At 38.7% G+C, this 15,855-nt stretch overlaps 1 protein-coding gene and 1 pseudogene across 3 annotated transcripts in view; one reads left to right on the top strand and one right to left on the bottom strand.

Annotated features, from left to right (window-relative positions):
• The window catches only part of USP9Y (ubiquitin specific peptidase 9 Y-linked), a 159,609-nt gene that overhangs the window by 98,634 nt on the left and 45,120 nt on the right, over positions 1 to 15,855 (top strand). For all 3 annotated transcript variants that reach the window (NM_004654.4, XM_047442772.1, XM_047442771.1), the window contains 4 exons: positions 10,315 to 10,423; positions 10,808 to 10,954; positions 11,771 to 11,917; positions 12,966 to 13,188. In NM_004654.4, the coding sequence (NP_004645.2) occupies positions 10,315 to 10,423; positions 10,808 to 10,954; positions 11,771 to 11,917; positions 12,966 to 13,188 (626 nt within the window). The remainder of the gene's footprint in view (positions 1 to 10,314; positions 10,424 to 10,807; positions 10,955 to 11,770; positions 11,918 to 12,965; positions 13,189 to 15,855) is intronic.
• Positions 1,477 to 4,394, bottom strand: CDY4P (chromodomain Y-linked 4 pseudogene; annotated as a pseudogene).

A 15,855-nucleotide genomic window follows, 5' to 3' on the forward strand; every position in this document is an offset into this window, starting at 1 on the left:
TTTGAATCGGCAGTGGCAAACCCCTTTGAGTCCCCTCCCGTTGTATAGGAGCTCTGTTTTCACTCTGTTAAATAATCTTGCAACTGCACACCTTTCTGGTCTGTGTTTGTTCTGGCTCAAGCTGAGGTTTCCCTCGCCTTCCACCACTGCTGAATGCCGCCATTGCAGACCCACCATTGACTTCCACCCCTCCAGATCTGGCAGGGTATCCACTGCACTTCTGATCCAGGGAGGCGCCCATTGCCGCTCCCGATCAGGCTAGAGGCTTGCTACTGTTCCTGCGTGGCTAAGTGCCTGGGTTTGTCCTAATCGAGCTGAAAACTAGTGGCTGGGTTCCACGGTTCTCTTCTGTGACCCATGGCTTCTAATAGACTTATAACACTCACTGCATGGCCCAAGGTTCCATTCCTTAGAAACTGTGAAGCCAAGAACCCCAGGTGAGAGAATGGAAGGCTTGCTGCCATCTTTGGAGCAGCCTGCCACCATCTTGGCAGCTCTAAGAACAAAGACCCACCGCTAACAGAGAGTTGGGATGCTCAGCCCCACGGGGCAGTTTCTAGGAAAGAAGAGTGAGTGGCTGAAGGTCAAGTTGACCGCCGGTGACCAGAATATTATTTAATCATGCCTATTTAATGACGTGTCCTTAGACAGACAAGAAGACAGGCTTCAGAGAGCTTCTAGATAGCTGAACATGTAGTTTCCTGGAGGGTGGTGTGCACATAAAAGCAGACATCAAGAAACTTTAATGCCAAATGTAAGGTAGTTTGTTTTGTTTTGAAAGGAGTTTCTGCATTTAAGTGTGTCAAGAATTTTCACATATTAAAAATACTCCAACTGAACCTAAAAACTAGACTTTATAAACATTATAACTTAGATGTTTATACTGGAACAGGAATTAAAAGAAATTAAAGAGTGTGTAAGCAAAAACTCAGTTGTATGTAAGAAAACCCAATTTCCCCTGAGGAAGAGAAAGAGCTGGAGTACTTTAAAAAGTAACTGCCTGTTTTTCTGTGGCTAGTGAGCCTTATTTCTTCTCCTTTTCAAGGCATTGTGAAGACCCTGGTTCTCTAGCTGTGCAGCTGCAAGGTCACTAGACAGATAAACTTAAATCGCAAAACATGTTTTTCCTTGGAAAGTAAGAAATGATGTAATGCATGTCTCAGTTAATTGAAAAACTGCCTTTGTTTCTCACTTCTGTAATGCTTCCCCATGCACAGATCTCCCCCCACCCCAAGAAATGCTTAAAAGGTAACTTAACTCTTTGTTCAAGGCTCAGTCCTTTGGATGTCAATCCGACTGGGCCGGAGTACCTAAGTAATAAATATCCTCCTGAACCCCATTGGTTTCTCTGATTCCTTACAAAATCCCGCAACAATACCTAAACGATTCCATGATTCATTAATATTGCACAAGAAGTTTTATTCTAGAGTGATAATGGTTTCTTCATGTTAACTGGGTAAGAACAAGGTATTTAAAAACAAAGGAAAATCGATATGTCAGCATGAATCCTAAGTGTATGTTTGGTTTGCGGGAATGATCTTCAGTGGAATTTTTGTCAGAAATATTTATTCTAAAAAATAAGTCTTTTGATTTAGAATTTTCTGTCTCTGAGGTATTTTGTATCTTCATAAAGACAAAGGCAGTATCTCAGTTTCTGTGTATCTATTTGAGGGAGGCTGCTTCATACCCTTTTAGACTCGGCATTCTAGGAGGAAGAAATAAGAAAAACAAACATCATTTCAGACTTTTCTGTCATCCAAAAGTAATAAAACACAATTGTGGTCTTTTATATATCACTGGCTGTAGATAAAAATTAGAGCTTCCAAGAACAGTCTAGTGCTCACCAGTATGCTTTTATATTTGGGTGTATATGTGCATAAAATAATGACATTTGGGCAAAGAAGCTTTGTCGTTACTTATTTTAAAGTTACAGTGCTTAAAAATGCCTTGTAATATTAAATAAGGAGCTTGGATATTTCTAGTCCTGCTTCCAAGTGTTAGCTATGGGTGAACTTGTTTCAGGCTATGAGGCTGGATTAGGGCGTCTTGTAGCTAATGATGTATTCTGCTCAGCCCAGTACTAGTGTCATGAGCAGACAGACTGACAATCAAAACTGATAGATTTTCTTCTGCACATACTTTTAACACAGATTCTATCCCTTGTGCGAAGCCCCAGATTTTCTTCAGCTGTTCACACTCTCATTGGCCTGTTCCAACTCAATCTTCACATTACAGTGCACAAGGGCTTTGGATTCCTCAAGCACAACAGGATTGTAGGAGGCAAGCTCCTTAATTTGAACCATAACCTTCTGAGTGAAAGGTGTCGTCCAAAACGCCTGAGAGACCAGGCATTTGGTACACGCCTCCAAACACCAAAGGTATTGGAAGCCACGCCTTTTCATTAGCCCAAACCACATCACAAAGAGGCAGTATGGATGTGACGAGTCCAATGGCTGGGCCATTGACTGATGAAATAATAGGCTTCTTACCCTAAATGAGAGTATTCACAAAGTTTTCGCTAGTGTCCACTCTTTTAATGCTTTCCCTTTTTCTATCATTTCTTAAATGCTTCACAAAGAACACAAAATCAAGGCCACAGCAAAGACACTGTCAGCTACGCTGAGTAGCAGGAGCTTGCTGTCATTGGCAGCAGCCCTATTCAGAGTACCCTGAATTTCTTTCATTACTTCTGTATTTAGGGAGTTATTCTCTGTTGATCTAGTTAATAGCAGGATCTGAGTGAAGCCATCTTTCTTCCTCACCACAGTATCTCAGTATCTGTCGGCACTTTGTTAGCTTTGTGCTGAAACGCACCCTCTTGACAAAAGGCTGGTTTCTTCTGTCATCAATAAGCTTTCTTTTTTTCTTTTTTTTCTTTTTTTTTTTTTTTTTGAGATGGAGTTTCTGGAGTTTCACTCTTGTTTCCCAGGATGGAGTGCAATGGTGCAATCTTGGCTCACCGCAATCTCTGCCTCACGGGTTCCAGCTATTCTCCTCCCTCAGCCTCCCGGGTAGTTGGGATTACAGGCATGTGACACCATGCCCAGCTAATTTTGTATTTTTAGTAGAGACGGAGTTTCTGCATGTTGGTCAGGAGGGTCTTGAACTCCCGACCTCAGGTGATCTACCTGCCTCAGTCTCCCAAAGTGCTGGGATTACAGGAGAGAGCCACCACACCCAGCCTGTCATCAACAACCTTTCTTTTCCCACCTCTCACTCTTGGTACGGATGTTTGCATGTTTGTTGCTCCATGGGCTATTAATGGATCGATTAATAGCAATGTACTTTCTTCCTTGTTAGCTGAGCCTGTGGCCCTGGCAGCAGTCACTGGGCCAGACATCTGAGGCATTAGTGGGTAGATCTGGGGTCTGTTCTCCATCCCAGCCTTTTTTTCCCTGGGGTCTGATAAAGCTCTGCCTGGCTTCTCTGCTGCCACCTTGAGCACCACTGTGTCCTGCTGATGTGGCTCAACAGGGTCCAGTTTTTCAGGTTCCTGAAAGCCACCCACTGTGTTCCTGGTGTTACTGGGGCTCTGAGGTGCAAGCAAATTCAACTGATAGTTGAATTTACTAGCTCCATATTCTTTGGATTGGAGAGAGATTAAGCTGTGTTTCTCCCCAAAGTTCTGGCTGGCAGCAGACAACTGGCTGTTTTTGGACTTGTGGTCTTTGCTAATCGCTAGCATCTTAAAAGAGCTCTTAGAAAAGTTGGTTTTGGTAAGGCTGGAGATTTCTTTTTTGGCATTGTTTGAAGAAGTTCTACCTATTCTGGCCAGTATGTTGTCTTTCTGTTTTTCAGTGTGGGATGTGTTAAAATCGTGAATATATTGCCCACAGTTCATGAGGTGTGGCCCTGGTTCCCAAGTGTCATCCTTGTTGTCATAGCCTTTCCACCAAACCAAATAATCTGTCTTCCCTTTCTTGTCTTGTCAACAGTCGTTTCAACCTCAAACTCCTGGGAAACCATGGATGGGTGGACAGGGTTGGGGCAGGTGCTGTGCCAGGTGGCCAACACTTTGTTTCAGTTGTGTCCCCACATAGCCACCACTTCTGCCTCCACTGCTCCACCAGGCGCTGGGCACGTATGAGCCTCTCCTGCTTTTGTGGCCACTGGTGGGGAAGAAGTTGTGTGGAGAAACTGCCTTTGGCTCTCCACACTTACTCCCTGGTGGGCCAGCTCGGGCTTGGGGCCATGGTCCCATGATGCAGGGCTAGGCAGATGCCTCAGGTAAGAGCAGCTGGATCCCCAGCTCCTGGTCTCGGGTGTCATGCAGAAAGCGTCCTACCTGCTTGTTACTATTCCCTTTTGTGGTTGCTGTGACAATTACATTTAAGAAAGTTATAACACTTTTAAAGTCACACTAGTTTACCTTCAGTAGCATACAAAAGCCCCACTCCTTAATAGCTCAGACCCCGTCATGTCAGTTATTAAGTTCACAGAATTACACCTTGATGCATTTTATGTCCAAAAACATAAGCTGGTGATAGCCTTTTAATATAATACTGTTGTAAATCATGTAGAGAACAAATAGTGGAGTTGCACATTGTTAAAAGCTTTGATAGCTTTCATAATTGGCCATATATTTATCTTTACCTTAATCTTTATTCAGACAGCTGTATAGTGTCCTTTCATTTCACCCTGAAGTACTCCATAAAGCATTTCTCGAAGGGTAATCTAGTGGTAACAAACTTCTCCAGCTTTTATCTGGGAATGTCATAATTTCTCCCTCACACTGATGCAGCTTGTTTGGACATAAGATTTCTGTTTGACAGTTTATCATTACAGCACTTGCAATATGTTAGCCCACTGCTTTCTGGCCTCTGAGGTGTCTGATAAGAAACGTGCTGGTGATTGGGAGGCCGGGGCGGGTGGATCACAATGTCAGGAGTTCGAGGCCAGTCTGGCCAACATGGTGTAACCCTGGTCTCTACTAAGAATACAAAAATTGCCAGGCTTAGTGGCAGGCACCTGTAATCCCAGCTACTCGGGAGGCTGAGGCAGGAGAATCACTTGAAACCGGAAGGCGAAGGTTGCAGTGAGCCAAGATCGCACCACTGCACTCTAGCCTGGGAGAAAGAGCATAACTCCATCTCAAAAAAAAAAAAAAAGAAATCCTCTGATTATCAATGCGGGTCTTTAGTTCATGACTAGTGACTTCTCTTGCTGCTTTCAAGATTCTCCTTGTCTTTGTTTTAGACAGTTTAATTAGCATGTATCTTTGTGTGTGTTTGAGTTTATCTTACTTGGAATTTCTTGAGCTTCTTGGTGTTTATTTATTTCCTAAAATTTGTGACATTCTTGACAACTGTTTCGTTAGATACTCTGTTTCTTTCTCTCTTCTCTTTGAACTTCCAAAATGTGTAAGTTTGTCTGCTTGATGGTGTCCCACAGGTTCCTGGGCTGTGTTCACTTTTCTTTATTATTTTTTCTTTCTCTTACTGACTTGATAATTTTAACTGCCTTTTCTTTAGGTATGCTTTTTCCCCCCTTCTGTCTGCTCAAATCTGAATAGAAAAATGAGAAAGGAAAATGCTCTGGCCCTTTTAATCCCTGGAAAGTTGCTTCAGCAGGAGGAGGAAGCTCCTGCAAAATGGTTGGGGAATGTAACAATGACTGCCCACCTTTGTCGGGACCATCTTAATCAGAAGCGGCAATCAGTGCACAAGTCCTCCTGAGATTTGGAGGACAGGGTTCTTTCTGTCCATCCTGGCTCTTGCAGGCTGCTCCAGAAGTGTTTGCAAGGCAGCATATCACAGTGGTAGTTGATGGAGCGTAGGTGGCTGCTGTTGAGCCAAGCTATGAAATTGATCAAATTTAATTGTAGTTTACTATCCAAGTCTTCTTTTGAAAGCTGTAAACCTTGAGATAGACTGTAGGGTTCCAAAATAATTGTATCACACAATTCTGCCAACTGCACCTATTGTCTAGTTGGAGAGACAGATTCATGGTGCTCTGTAGTTCATTGTTGCCCTCTTCCCAGAACCCTGTATCCTCTTCCTTCTAACCTCTGTGTCTTTACACCTAAAGTGAGACTTGCATAAATTTCATATAGGTGAATCCATTTTTTAAAAATGCATTTTGCCAGTCTGTGCCTTTTCACACAGAGCATACATTTCAAGTTATTACAAGCAAGTAATGGTTTACTCCGACATTTACCTACTTATTTTCTGCCTGTTCTCTATATTATTTGATCCTCATTATATACTTGATCCTCACTATATATTTGATCCTCACTATATATTTGATCCTCACTATATTATTACTTGATGCTCATTTTAAAAATTTGTTTTTTAAAAAAAAATGTGCTTATTCCCTTTTCTGTATATTTTATATTTTTTATTAATTATATTTGGGACTTCAGTTAATATTCTAAACTTAAAATAGCCTACTTTGAGTAATACTAACTTGTTTGAATAATATGAAGTTTAGTTTCAACAGTATATAAATATGCTGCTTTTGTACTTTTCCATCCTTCCTAATCTATGTTATTGTCTCAGATTATATCTGTACACAGTGTCCATTAAAATGGATTTGTAATTGTTTTATGTAATAGCTGCCTACCAGAAGTACAATAGTAATAGTTACTTTTCCCAGTTGTTATAATAGTAATAGCAGCTTTCTTTACAATGTTAATTCTTCCTGTGGCTTAAAATTACTGTCCAATGTCCTTTCATTTTAACTTGATGGCTTCCTTCTAGCAATCCTTGTAGAGCAGGGGTAGTAACGCATTCCGTTAGCTTTTCTGTATCTAGGCATTTTTGCTTGAAGTATTTTTGCTTGAAGTATCATTTTGCCAGATTCAGATTTCGTGTTTGATAGCTTTTTTCTATTAACATTTTGTTATCGCTTTCTGGCTTCTGTATTTTCCATGCTTTCTGAGCTGTTTGTTGTTAATCAGTACACCCTTCTACATAACAAATGGCTTCCATTCTGAGGTGTCTGTTGTCAGTCAAGACTCCCTTCTGCATGACAAATTGCTTCTCCCTTTCTGTTTTTACAGTTGTCTTGGTTCTTGACTGACTATAATTTTCTTGGTGTGGCTGGCTGTTTTTGACTATGTTCTTGTTGGAGATTTTTACCCTTCTTGAGTTTGGACATTCAGATATTTCATCAAGTTTGGGAATTTTCAGCTATTTATGTCTTCAGATATTCTTTCTGCCTCTTCTCCTTCTGCACTTATGGGACACCCATATTGCATGCATTGGTCTGCTTCATGGCGTTCTGTGTACTTGTTAGGTTTTTCCCACTTTTTCAAATTCTTCTTTTTTTCTGTTCTCACACTGGGTTATTTCAATTTTCATTTCTTCAGACTTAATCTTTACCTGCTGTTATATACTCCTTTAATGAACTGTTCATTTGCATCATTGTGCTTTTTTATCTCTAGATATTCCATATTTTCTTCTATAATTTGTCTCATTGATACTCTCGTGTTCTTTTATCATTTGTCTGCTGTTTTTTTCTTTAGGCTTAACTCTTTTTTTTTTTTTTTTTTTTTTTTTTTTTTTTTTTTTTTTTTTGAGACAGAGTCTCTCTCTGTCACCCAGGCTGGAGTGCAAGGGCGCGGTCTCTGCTCACTGCAAGCTATTCCTCCCGTGTTCAAGCGATTCTCCTGCCTCAGCCTCTTGAGTAGGTGGGATTACAGGCATACACCACCACGCCTTGCTAATTTTTGTATTTTTTGTAGAGACGGGGTTTCACTGTGTTACCCAGGATGGTCTCGATCTCCTGACCTCGTGATCCACCTGCTTCGGCCTACCAAACTGCTGGGATTATAGGCATGAGCCACCATGCCCAGCCAAAACTTTGGTTTTTTTATAGTCTTTGTGTATAAAGTTCAGGACATTTTCAGTTTCTGTTTTTCACTTCACATTGGTCATATTTTCCTGTTTGTTTTTGTGTGTTTTGTTGTTTTTTTGTAGAAAACTATATTTGAAATGTTGCAGTGTGTTAACTCTGGAAGTCTTCATTTCTCCAAGGTGTCCTCTTAGTTATTGAAGGCTTAGCTTGCATTGCAACAGTGTTTTAATTGAGTGTAATATAAAAACTATCAGTTTTTACAACTGGATCTGTATTAACACACCCCTTTAATACTTAGGGAGACTGTTTACAATTCTGCCTCAGCCTTCAGTTTTTTCTCACATTGAAGCTATAGTTAAGCCTGAGGGCTAACACTTAGAGTTTTACATGTTTTTTGAGAATGTTTCCTGTCATGAGCATGTGCATGATTTTCTAAATTCTTTAGTATATTTAACTGCTTTCAAATATTCTGATTTCTCCAAAAGAAAGATCTCTCCAGCTTTTGCCCTCTTTTTCAGGTTGTCTGTTTTATGGGTTAATCATATACTTTGCTCCCAGCAACTTAAATATTTGTGACTAATGCCTGGCATTTTCAACCATGAGTGAGTTCTGAGTTAGGCAAAACAGAGATATGTGTGTTTCACCAATTCTTTATGTAACTCCTAGACAGACTAGAAATAAAACACAATAAATTAGCACCTAAGGTCTTCTTTACTCCTTCTAGAATCAGGGGTCAGGGCCTCACATTGAGAATGTGGATTGCATTTTCGAAGGCTTCAGCTGTGCCTGGGAGGTGGTATGGTAACACCACAAGACTTTCCTACCATTTTAAAAATTATCTCTCTTGGCTCAGTGTTTGCTTGGTTGATATAAATTGTTGATTTCCAGGGTCCTGTCAGTTTTGGGTTGATGTGCTGTTTCTTTGGAGGGTTTGAAAGTGTCTGTCCTGTAGCTTTGCTTTCAGTTTAATTTATGAAGCACTGATTGTTTTCCGATCTCAGAGTTCATTTTTATTTAGGAGATTTACACTTTTGTGCCTTAAAAATTTTCCTTAAAATAATTAAGTAGTATATTAACCTCCTAATTTGGGTTCCTAGATGTTAGGTTTTTGTTTTAGTGGATATGGTATGAAACTTTTTCTTTGCTTTGTTTTTAAGTAAGATTATCGATTCCATATAAAATGCATGAGGCAGGATTTGTTTGTTATAAAGTACAGTTTGGTTTTATATAGGAGAGTCACAAAATACTTCGTTGCCAGGGTGACTTTCAAGTAAATGTCTAAATGAACAAACAAGGGAATAATCATGTAAGTATGCAGCAGGATCAACAAGTATGAAGATCCCTGGCATAAGCCTACTTAGCTTGTTAGAAAAATAGCAAGGTCGGTGTGGCTGAGGCAGGATGAAAAAGGAGAACAATTATAGATGAAGAGCTCGTAGAGATAACGGACAGTCCATGTGATAGCTTTATATAGGTCATGTTTTATATAGGTCAATAGATATTACTTTAGATTTTACTCTAAGCCTGGTTCATAACTGGAAGTGGGATTGGTAAGGTTGTTACTGGCATCTAGTGGTGAGAGGCTGGAAGTCTGCTAAATATCCTTAAATCTAGAGTCTCAGACACCTTTAGGAATTTAACACAGTTGGACTGTCTCTCCAGAAAATTGTGAAGAAAAGGCATACATGTGGAATTCTTTGATACTATAGTTTGAAGATTTCTGAGCCCAACCTGTGGGTTTCATAAATAGGAGGGACTTTTATAAGCCCTTGAAAAGTTCAGTTGATTAAAGTTTGAGTGGGGTGGAGGAGAGAGAGAGAGAGGGGAGAGAGAAGAGAAGACAGAAGAGAGAGAGAAAAAGAGATTCTGGGTTTGTCTTCCAAAATTAATGACTCAGTAAGTATGGAATGGAATCTGAGGATCTGTATGTCTTCGAGGTTCTCAAATGATGTTAATGCTGTTGGTCTGATAATCACGTTTGAGAATCATTGATACAATCAGACATATCTTTAGCCATGTTGCATTTCCATGAGTTGCTTGCTCCAATGCACGGTTCATTGAAAGTGATTCTGGGGAGGCTAAAAAAGATATACAGAAGCTTAATTCATAGCACCTTTGTATAGTATCTAGAGGGTGTTTCCAGGCATTTCCGAGAGAGGTTGTTAAAAATATGTCCTGCAAAATAAGAGGCTTATATTTTATTGATTGATGCTTACCTTTGACATGATCCACCCCGACCCCTGATTCACAGTAAATATTAGAAGATCTAAGAAATCATACATTAACAAACTTGAACAATAAATAGTAAGTAGTAATATTCCTAGCCTACTAGGTAACAATTTGAGGATTAGCTCCCTGACAAGTATTTTAAACTCATTCATTCTGTGTTGCTAGCCAAATGCTAAAATGGGGGTTACCTTGTATTTTACTATTGATGTATATACCTCCTATTAAAGATAGATCAGTGTTGGAATTATTTTGTTGTTGTTCATAAGATACATTTTGTTTTTATTTCAGAACTGTTCGTCAGTTGGCACAGGAGCAGTTCTTTTTAATGTGCACCAGATGTTGCATGGGACACAGGCCTCTGCTTTTCTTCATTACTTTACTCTTTACCATACTGGGGGTGAGAAGTTTTCAAATGAACTTATCAATATAATGCATTCTTAACATGAGAGACATTCAGAAAGTTACTACGATAGCTTTTATTGTATTTAGAACAGGCATAATTAATAAATGCAGTATTATAATTTTTTACTATTTGTAGATTGGCTTTTTGTTTTTTTACAGTTCTTGGGAAAAATACACTACGTCTTGGAAAAATATATAGTAGGTCTATAGATGTACTATATATTTATTTTATGTATATAGTACGTCTGTAGGAAAAATATAGTACATCTTTGTCATTGATATGAAATATTGCCAATTTTAATTTTTCTGGGTTTAAAAAAATTATATGGACTCTGAGTGTAGACTTGTGAATTCATGTTGTTTTAATTTAATATTTCAGAGCACAGCAAGAGAGAAGGGTAAATATTCAGGTGATTATTTCACACTTTTACGGCACCTTCTCAATTATGCTTACAATGGCAATATTAACATACCCAATGCTGAAGTTCTTCTTGTCAGTGAAATTGATTGGCTCAAAAGGATTAGGGTAAGTTGAATAGTATTTAGTTTATTATGTCATGACCAAATCAGCTGTCTTATTAAAAGGAGGTTTGTAGTCTTTTATTTAGTCTCTATTTTTATTTGACAACTTAGGAGAATAAATTCTCAAAATGCCTCTGAGAATAAATACAAACAAAATGTGTACTTTTCACTAGTGAATTGGTAACTTAGATTCATAGAAACAAACATAGCTAGTTTTGTTCAATGTGTTTTACTTTTCTTGAAACTTGGAATGCTGATAATTCTGTTTCTTTCACTTTGGTGCTTCTTGGCCTTTTTTGGGGAAATTATCACATTTGAAGACTTTTTAAAAAATCGAATTTGAGAGATTCGTATTTACATTGAACCATCTGATATCTTACTTCACAAAGTTCTATGAGAGTATATTTCTAAAGTGTATGGCTTTGGGCTTCAGGTTAGCTGCTTCTAGTAGATTATAAAGCTTACTTACGGAGCACGGTTTTTGAACCCTGGTATTGACGTTGTGTACCCAGATAATTCCTTTTGGGGAGGAGCTTTGCTGTGCATTGTAGGATGTTAAGCAGCATTTCGGGCCTCTTCCACTCAGTGCTGTAGTAACCTCCTTTCCTCGTGGTTGTAAATCCCAAATATGTTTGTGTAAGCAAAATTGCTTGCATTTACTGTTCTAGAGAGTTCTCAAAAAGAAATAGGAAACCACTTGAACAGTTTGGGGAAGTTGTATAGAAGATCTCATTTCCTTCCAGCTCTCTGTTCTCCTAACTCCTTGTCCTTTTCTATCTCCATGTTGTGAGTTGGGCCTATAATATTTTTCCTTTTGCAGGATAATGTTAAAAACACAGGTGAAACAGGTGTCGAAGAGCCAATACTGGAAGGCCACCTTGGGGTAACAAAAGAGTTATTGGCCTTTCAAACTTCTGAGAAAAAGTATCACTTTGGTTGTGAAAAAGGAGGTGCTAATCTCATTAAAGTAAGTACTTTTTTTTTTCTTTTTTTGAGATGGAGTCTTGCTCTGTGGCCCAGACTGGAGTGCAGTGGTGCCGTCTCAGCTCACCGCAGCCTCCACCTCCCGGGTTCAAGTGATTCTCGTGCCTCAGCCACCCAAATAGCTGGGATTACAGGCATGTGTCACCACACCTGGCTAATTTTTCTATTTTTGGTAGAGACCTGGCTAATTTTTGTATTTTTGGTAGAGACCTGGTTTCACCATGTTGGCCAGGCTGGTGTTGACCTCCTGACCTCAAGTGATCCGTTCACCTCCGCCTCCTAAAGTGGGTGAGCCGCCGCACCCAGCCTCTTTAAGGTAAGTTCTGAATTTTGTTACTGAACTTCTTATCATGACCTCATAAATGTTAGCAAATCTGTCTGATTGACCTCTGTATAATGTCTTTGAGACATAATCTTGATATTTTTTCTTTTTTCTTGTCCCACTTCTCTTTTAAAAAGGATCTCTGAAGAGGTTACAGTAACTTTAAAACGTGTGCCTCACTTTAAGAGATTTTGTAAAGTAATTACAAATCAGAGTTACAATAAAGTGGTATGAAAAGTCAGTAAGCAGCATTGAGGTGATTTTCATGTTGAATAAATCTCAATTTTTCTTGACTAGATTTCTAAATGAGAGAAATTTCTGTCTTGCAAAACTTCATTTTTTATACACTATTTCTTGGTGAGCTTCTTTATATGTCATGCAATTCAAGAAAAAGAATATAACTTTGATGCATTCTGTTCCTGTTTGAAATGAATTTGTTTCTGTTTATATCTGATTAAAGAAATAAATTTATTTAGAATGTCACTTTTCTTTGGTATAAAATTGTTTAAATCACTTCAAAAAATCTAATCTGGAAAACTGATTACATTTATTAATTGTACTCGGGTTTTTTTGTGGGGTTTTGTTTTGAGATATAATGAGATATTTAATTATGTCAGATAATTACTAAAGTATTCCCTTTGAAGAAACATATTGTTCCTAACCTATATTTTCTACTAATAACATGTAATGTCTTTTTCTAACTTACTAGGAATTAATTGATGATTTCATCTTTCCCGCATCCAAAGTTTACCTGCAGTATTTAAGAAGTGGAGAACTACCAGCTGAGCAGGCTATTCCAGTCTGTAGTTCACCCGTTACCATCAATGCCGGTTTTGAGCTACTTGTAGCATTAGCTATTGGCTGTGTGAGGAATCTCAAACAGATAGTAGACTGTTTGACTGAAATGTATTACATGGGCACAGCAATTACTAGTGAGTATTTTAAATTATAAAGCTGTTTTGTTCATTAATAATACTTCACTGTAAAATTTTATTTGGTGTTTTAGAAAAAATTAACTTGTGATGGACTTTTTTTGATCCAATGAGTTTAACATTTTTTAGCTGTCAGTTATACAATTAAAACCACTTTAGTCAGAGAACATTAATTCAGAAAAATTTTTAGCTGTGTCTTTTAAATGCTCCTTATAGTTTGTTTAGATGAGTTTTATTTAATCATATGTGAAATAAAACCAAAACTTCAGAGTAACAGGAAGGCAAATTTAATGCCATAAAAAGTTTATATTTAAAATGTATGTATTGAAAAGATTTTCATAATCCTAACACTGAAGTTGCTTAATGTTATTTTAGTTGAATTCTAAGGAAGGTATGGTTTTAAAGATCACAGTGTGAGAAGAGAATATTTGAGTGTATTTTACTAAGTTCTAAATGCCTACATCAGTCCCACAAAGTGAGTACCTATGTTCAGATCTTACATAGAACTGAAACTCAGAGTGGGAGGTGGTATAAGTAAAATAACAGATAATAATATAAAATTTAGTTCATTTCAAGGAAAAACCCAAGGCTTAAAAATATAATTAATAACAGCATTCATTATAAATCTTTAATAAATATGAATTTATCTTTGCTTATGTCTTTCTCTGGGTGAGGACGTTTTCAATCACATTGTAGGAGTTTCTAGCTAAACTCCCTGCTTAGAAGGTCAGATGTTTTTTTGTCGCTTTGAATCTGCATAGAGAGAAGAGTTTCTTCTTTTGAGACGAAGTCTCACTCTTGTTCCCCAGTCTGGAATGCGATGGCGCCATCTCAGCTCACTGCAACCTCCGCCTCCCGGGTTCAAGCAGTTCTCTTACCTCAGCCACCCAAGTAGGTGGGATTACAGGCGACTGTCACCACACCTGGCTAATTTTTGTATTTTTAGAGAGACAGGGTTTCACCATGTTGGCCAGGCTGGTCTAGAACTCCTGACCTCAGGTGATCCACCCATCTTGGCCTCCCAAAGCGCTGAGATTACATGTGTGAGTAACTACTTGAGATTACATGTGTGAGTCACTCTTTTTTAAAAAGTTTCTTTTTTAAAAACGCTTCTTTTGTTAATTTATTTAGCTAATGTATTTATGTGGTAAGTGTAGTTTCAAAAGAGTTTATTTTTTAGAAACACTTGTTTATGGCCGGGCGCGGTGGCTCACGCCTGTAATCCCAGCACTTTGGGAGGCCGAGGCGGGCGGATCACGAGGTCAGGAGATCGAGACCATCCCGGCTAAAACGGTGAAACCCCGTCTCTACTAAAAATACAAAAAATTAGCCGGGCGTAGTGGCGGGCGCCTGTAGTCCCAGCTACTTGGGAGGCTGAGGCAGGAGAATGGCGTGAACCCGGGAGGCGGAGCTTGCAGTGAGCCGAGATTGCACCACTGCACTCCAGCCTGGGCGACAGAGAGAGACTCCGTCTCAAAAAAAAAAAAAAAAAAAAAAAAAAGAAACACTTGTTTATTTTACTAAAGTTTATACCTGGTAAATATGTATTTTCAAATACAAAAGAGGATACATGTTAACAGTTATTAACTTCCTACAGGTTTTATGTTTCCAGTCCAGAGATTATCTCTGTCTATGCATTTATATGTATGTATAGCTATTCGTTTTGTACAAATGAGAATGTACAAAATACAATATTGTTAATTTTGTTTTGTACTTTGTGACACACCTGTCAGCACATGAAGGTCTGTATAATTCTGTTTTTTAGCTACATAACTTGCAGTTCAATGTGCTCCAGTTTATGTAATTCATCTCTGATGGTGATTGATGTTTAAGTTGTTTTGGTTTTATGCAAGTAAGAGAGGGATTTATAGTTCTCACAGTGATTTGAAATACACCATCCCATTGACTTTATCTCACAATAAAACTGGATATTGGTAAAGCAATTATCACTATTTACTAAGGAAGGAAACAGATATTTACGTGAAGGTTATACTTTTTTAAGAATCAGAACCACGACTTGACAAAGTCAAGTTTGTAATGTATACATACTTTCATTATAAATAAAACAAAGTGGTCCTATATGCAATTAAAAGTGAGAAAACCATAGTATTTTGTTTATATAGAGTTCTGACCACAGTGAATTCAATACACTTAGGTACAGAAGTTTATTTTTTTGTTGTTGTTTTTGTTTTTGAGAGGGAGTCTTGGCCTTGTTGCCAGGCTGGAGTGCAGTGGCACGATATCGGCTCACTGCAACCTCCACCTCCCGAGTTCAAGCAGTTCTCCTGCCTCAGCCTTCCTAGTAGCAGGGACTACAGGTGCATGCCACCACACCCAGCTAATTTTTGTATTTTTAGTACAGACATGGTTTCACCATGTTGGCCAGGCTGGTCTCAAACTGCTGACCCCGTGATCTGCCCGCCTTGGCCTCCCAAAGTGCTGCAATTACAGTCGTGAGCCACCATGCCCGGCTAGAAGTTTTTAATTAGTAAAATAATAATGGTTAACACTAAGCCTGTGTTTAACACATGGAAATTTAATGCTATACCATCTTGTTTTTTTGAGACAGAGTCTGTCTCTGTCGCCCAGGCTGGAGTCACTGCAACCTTTGTCTCATGGGTTCAAGCGATTCTCCTGACTCAGCCTCCCAAGTAGCTGGAATGACAG

The sequence above is a fragment of the Homo sapiens genome, chromosome Y (genome assembly GCF_000001405.40).
Source record: "Homo sapiens chromosome Y, GRCh38.p14 Primary Assembly".
Taxonomy (NCBI): domain Eukaryota; kingdom Metazoa; phylum Chordata; class Mammalia; order Primates; family Hominidae; genus Homo; species Homo sapiens.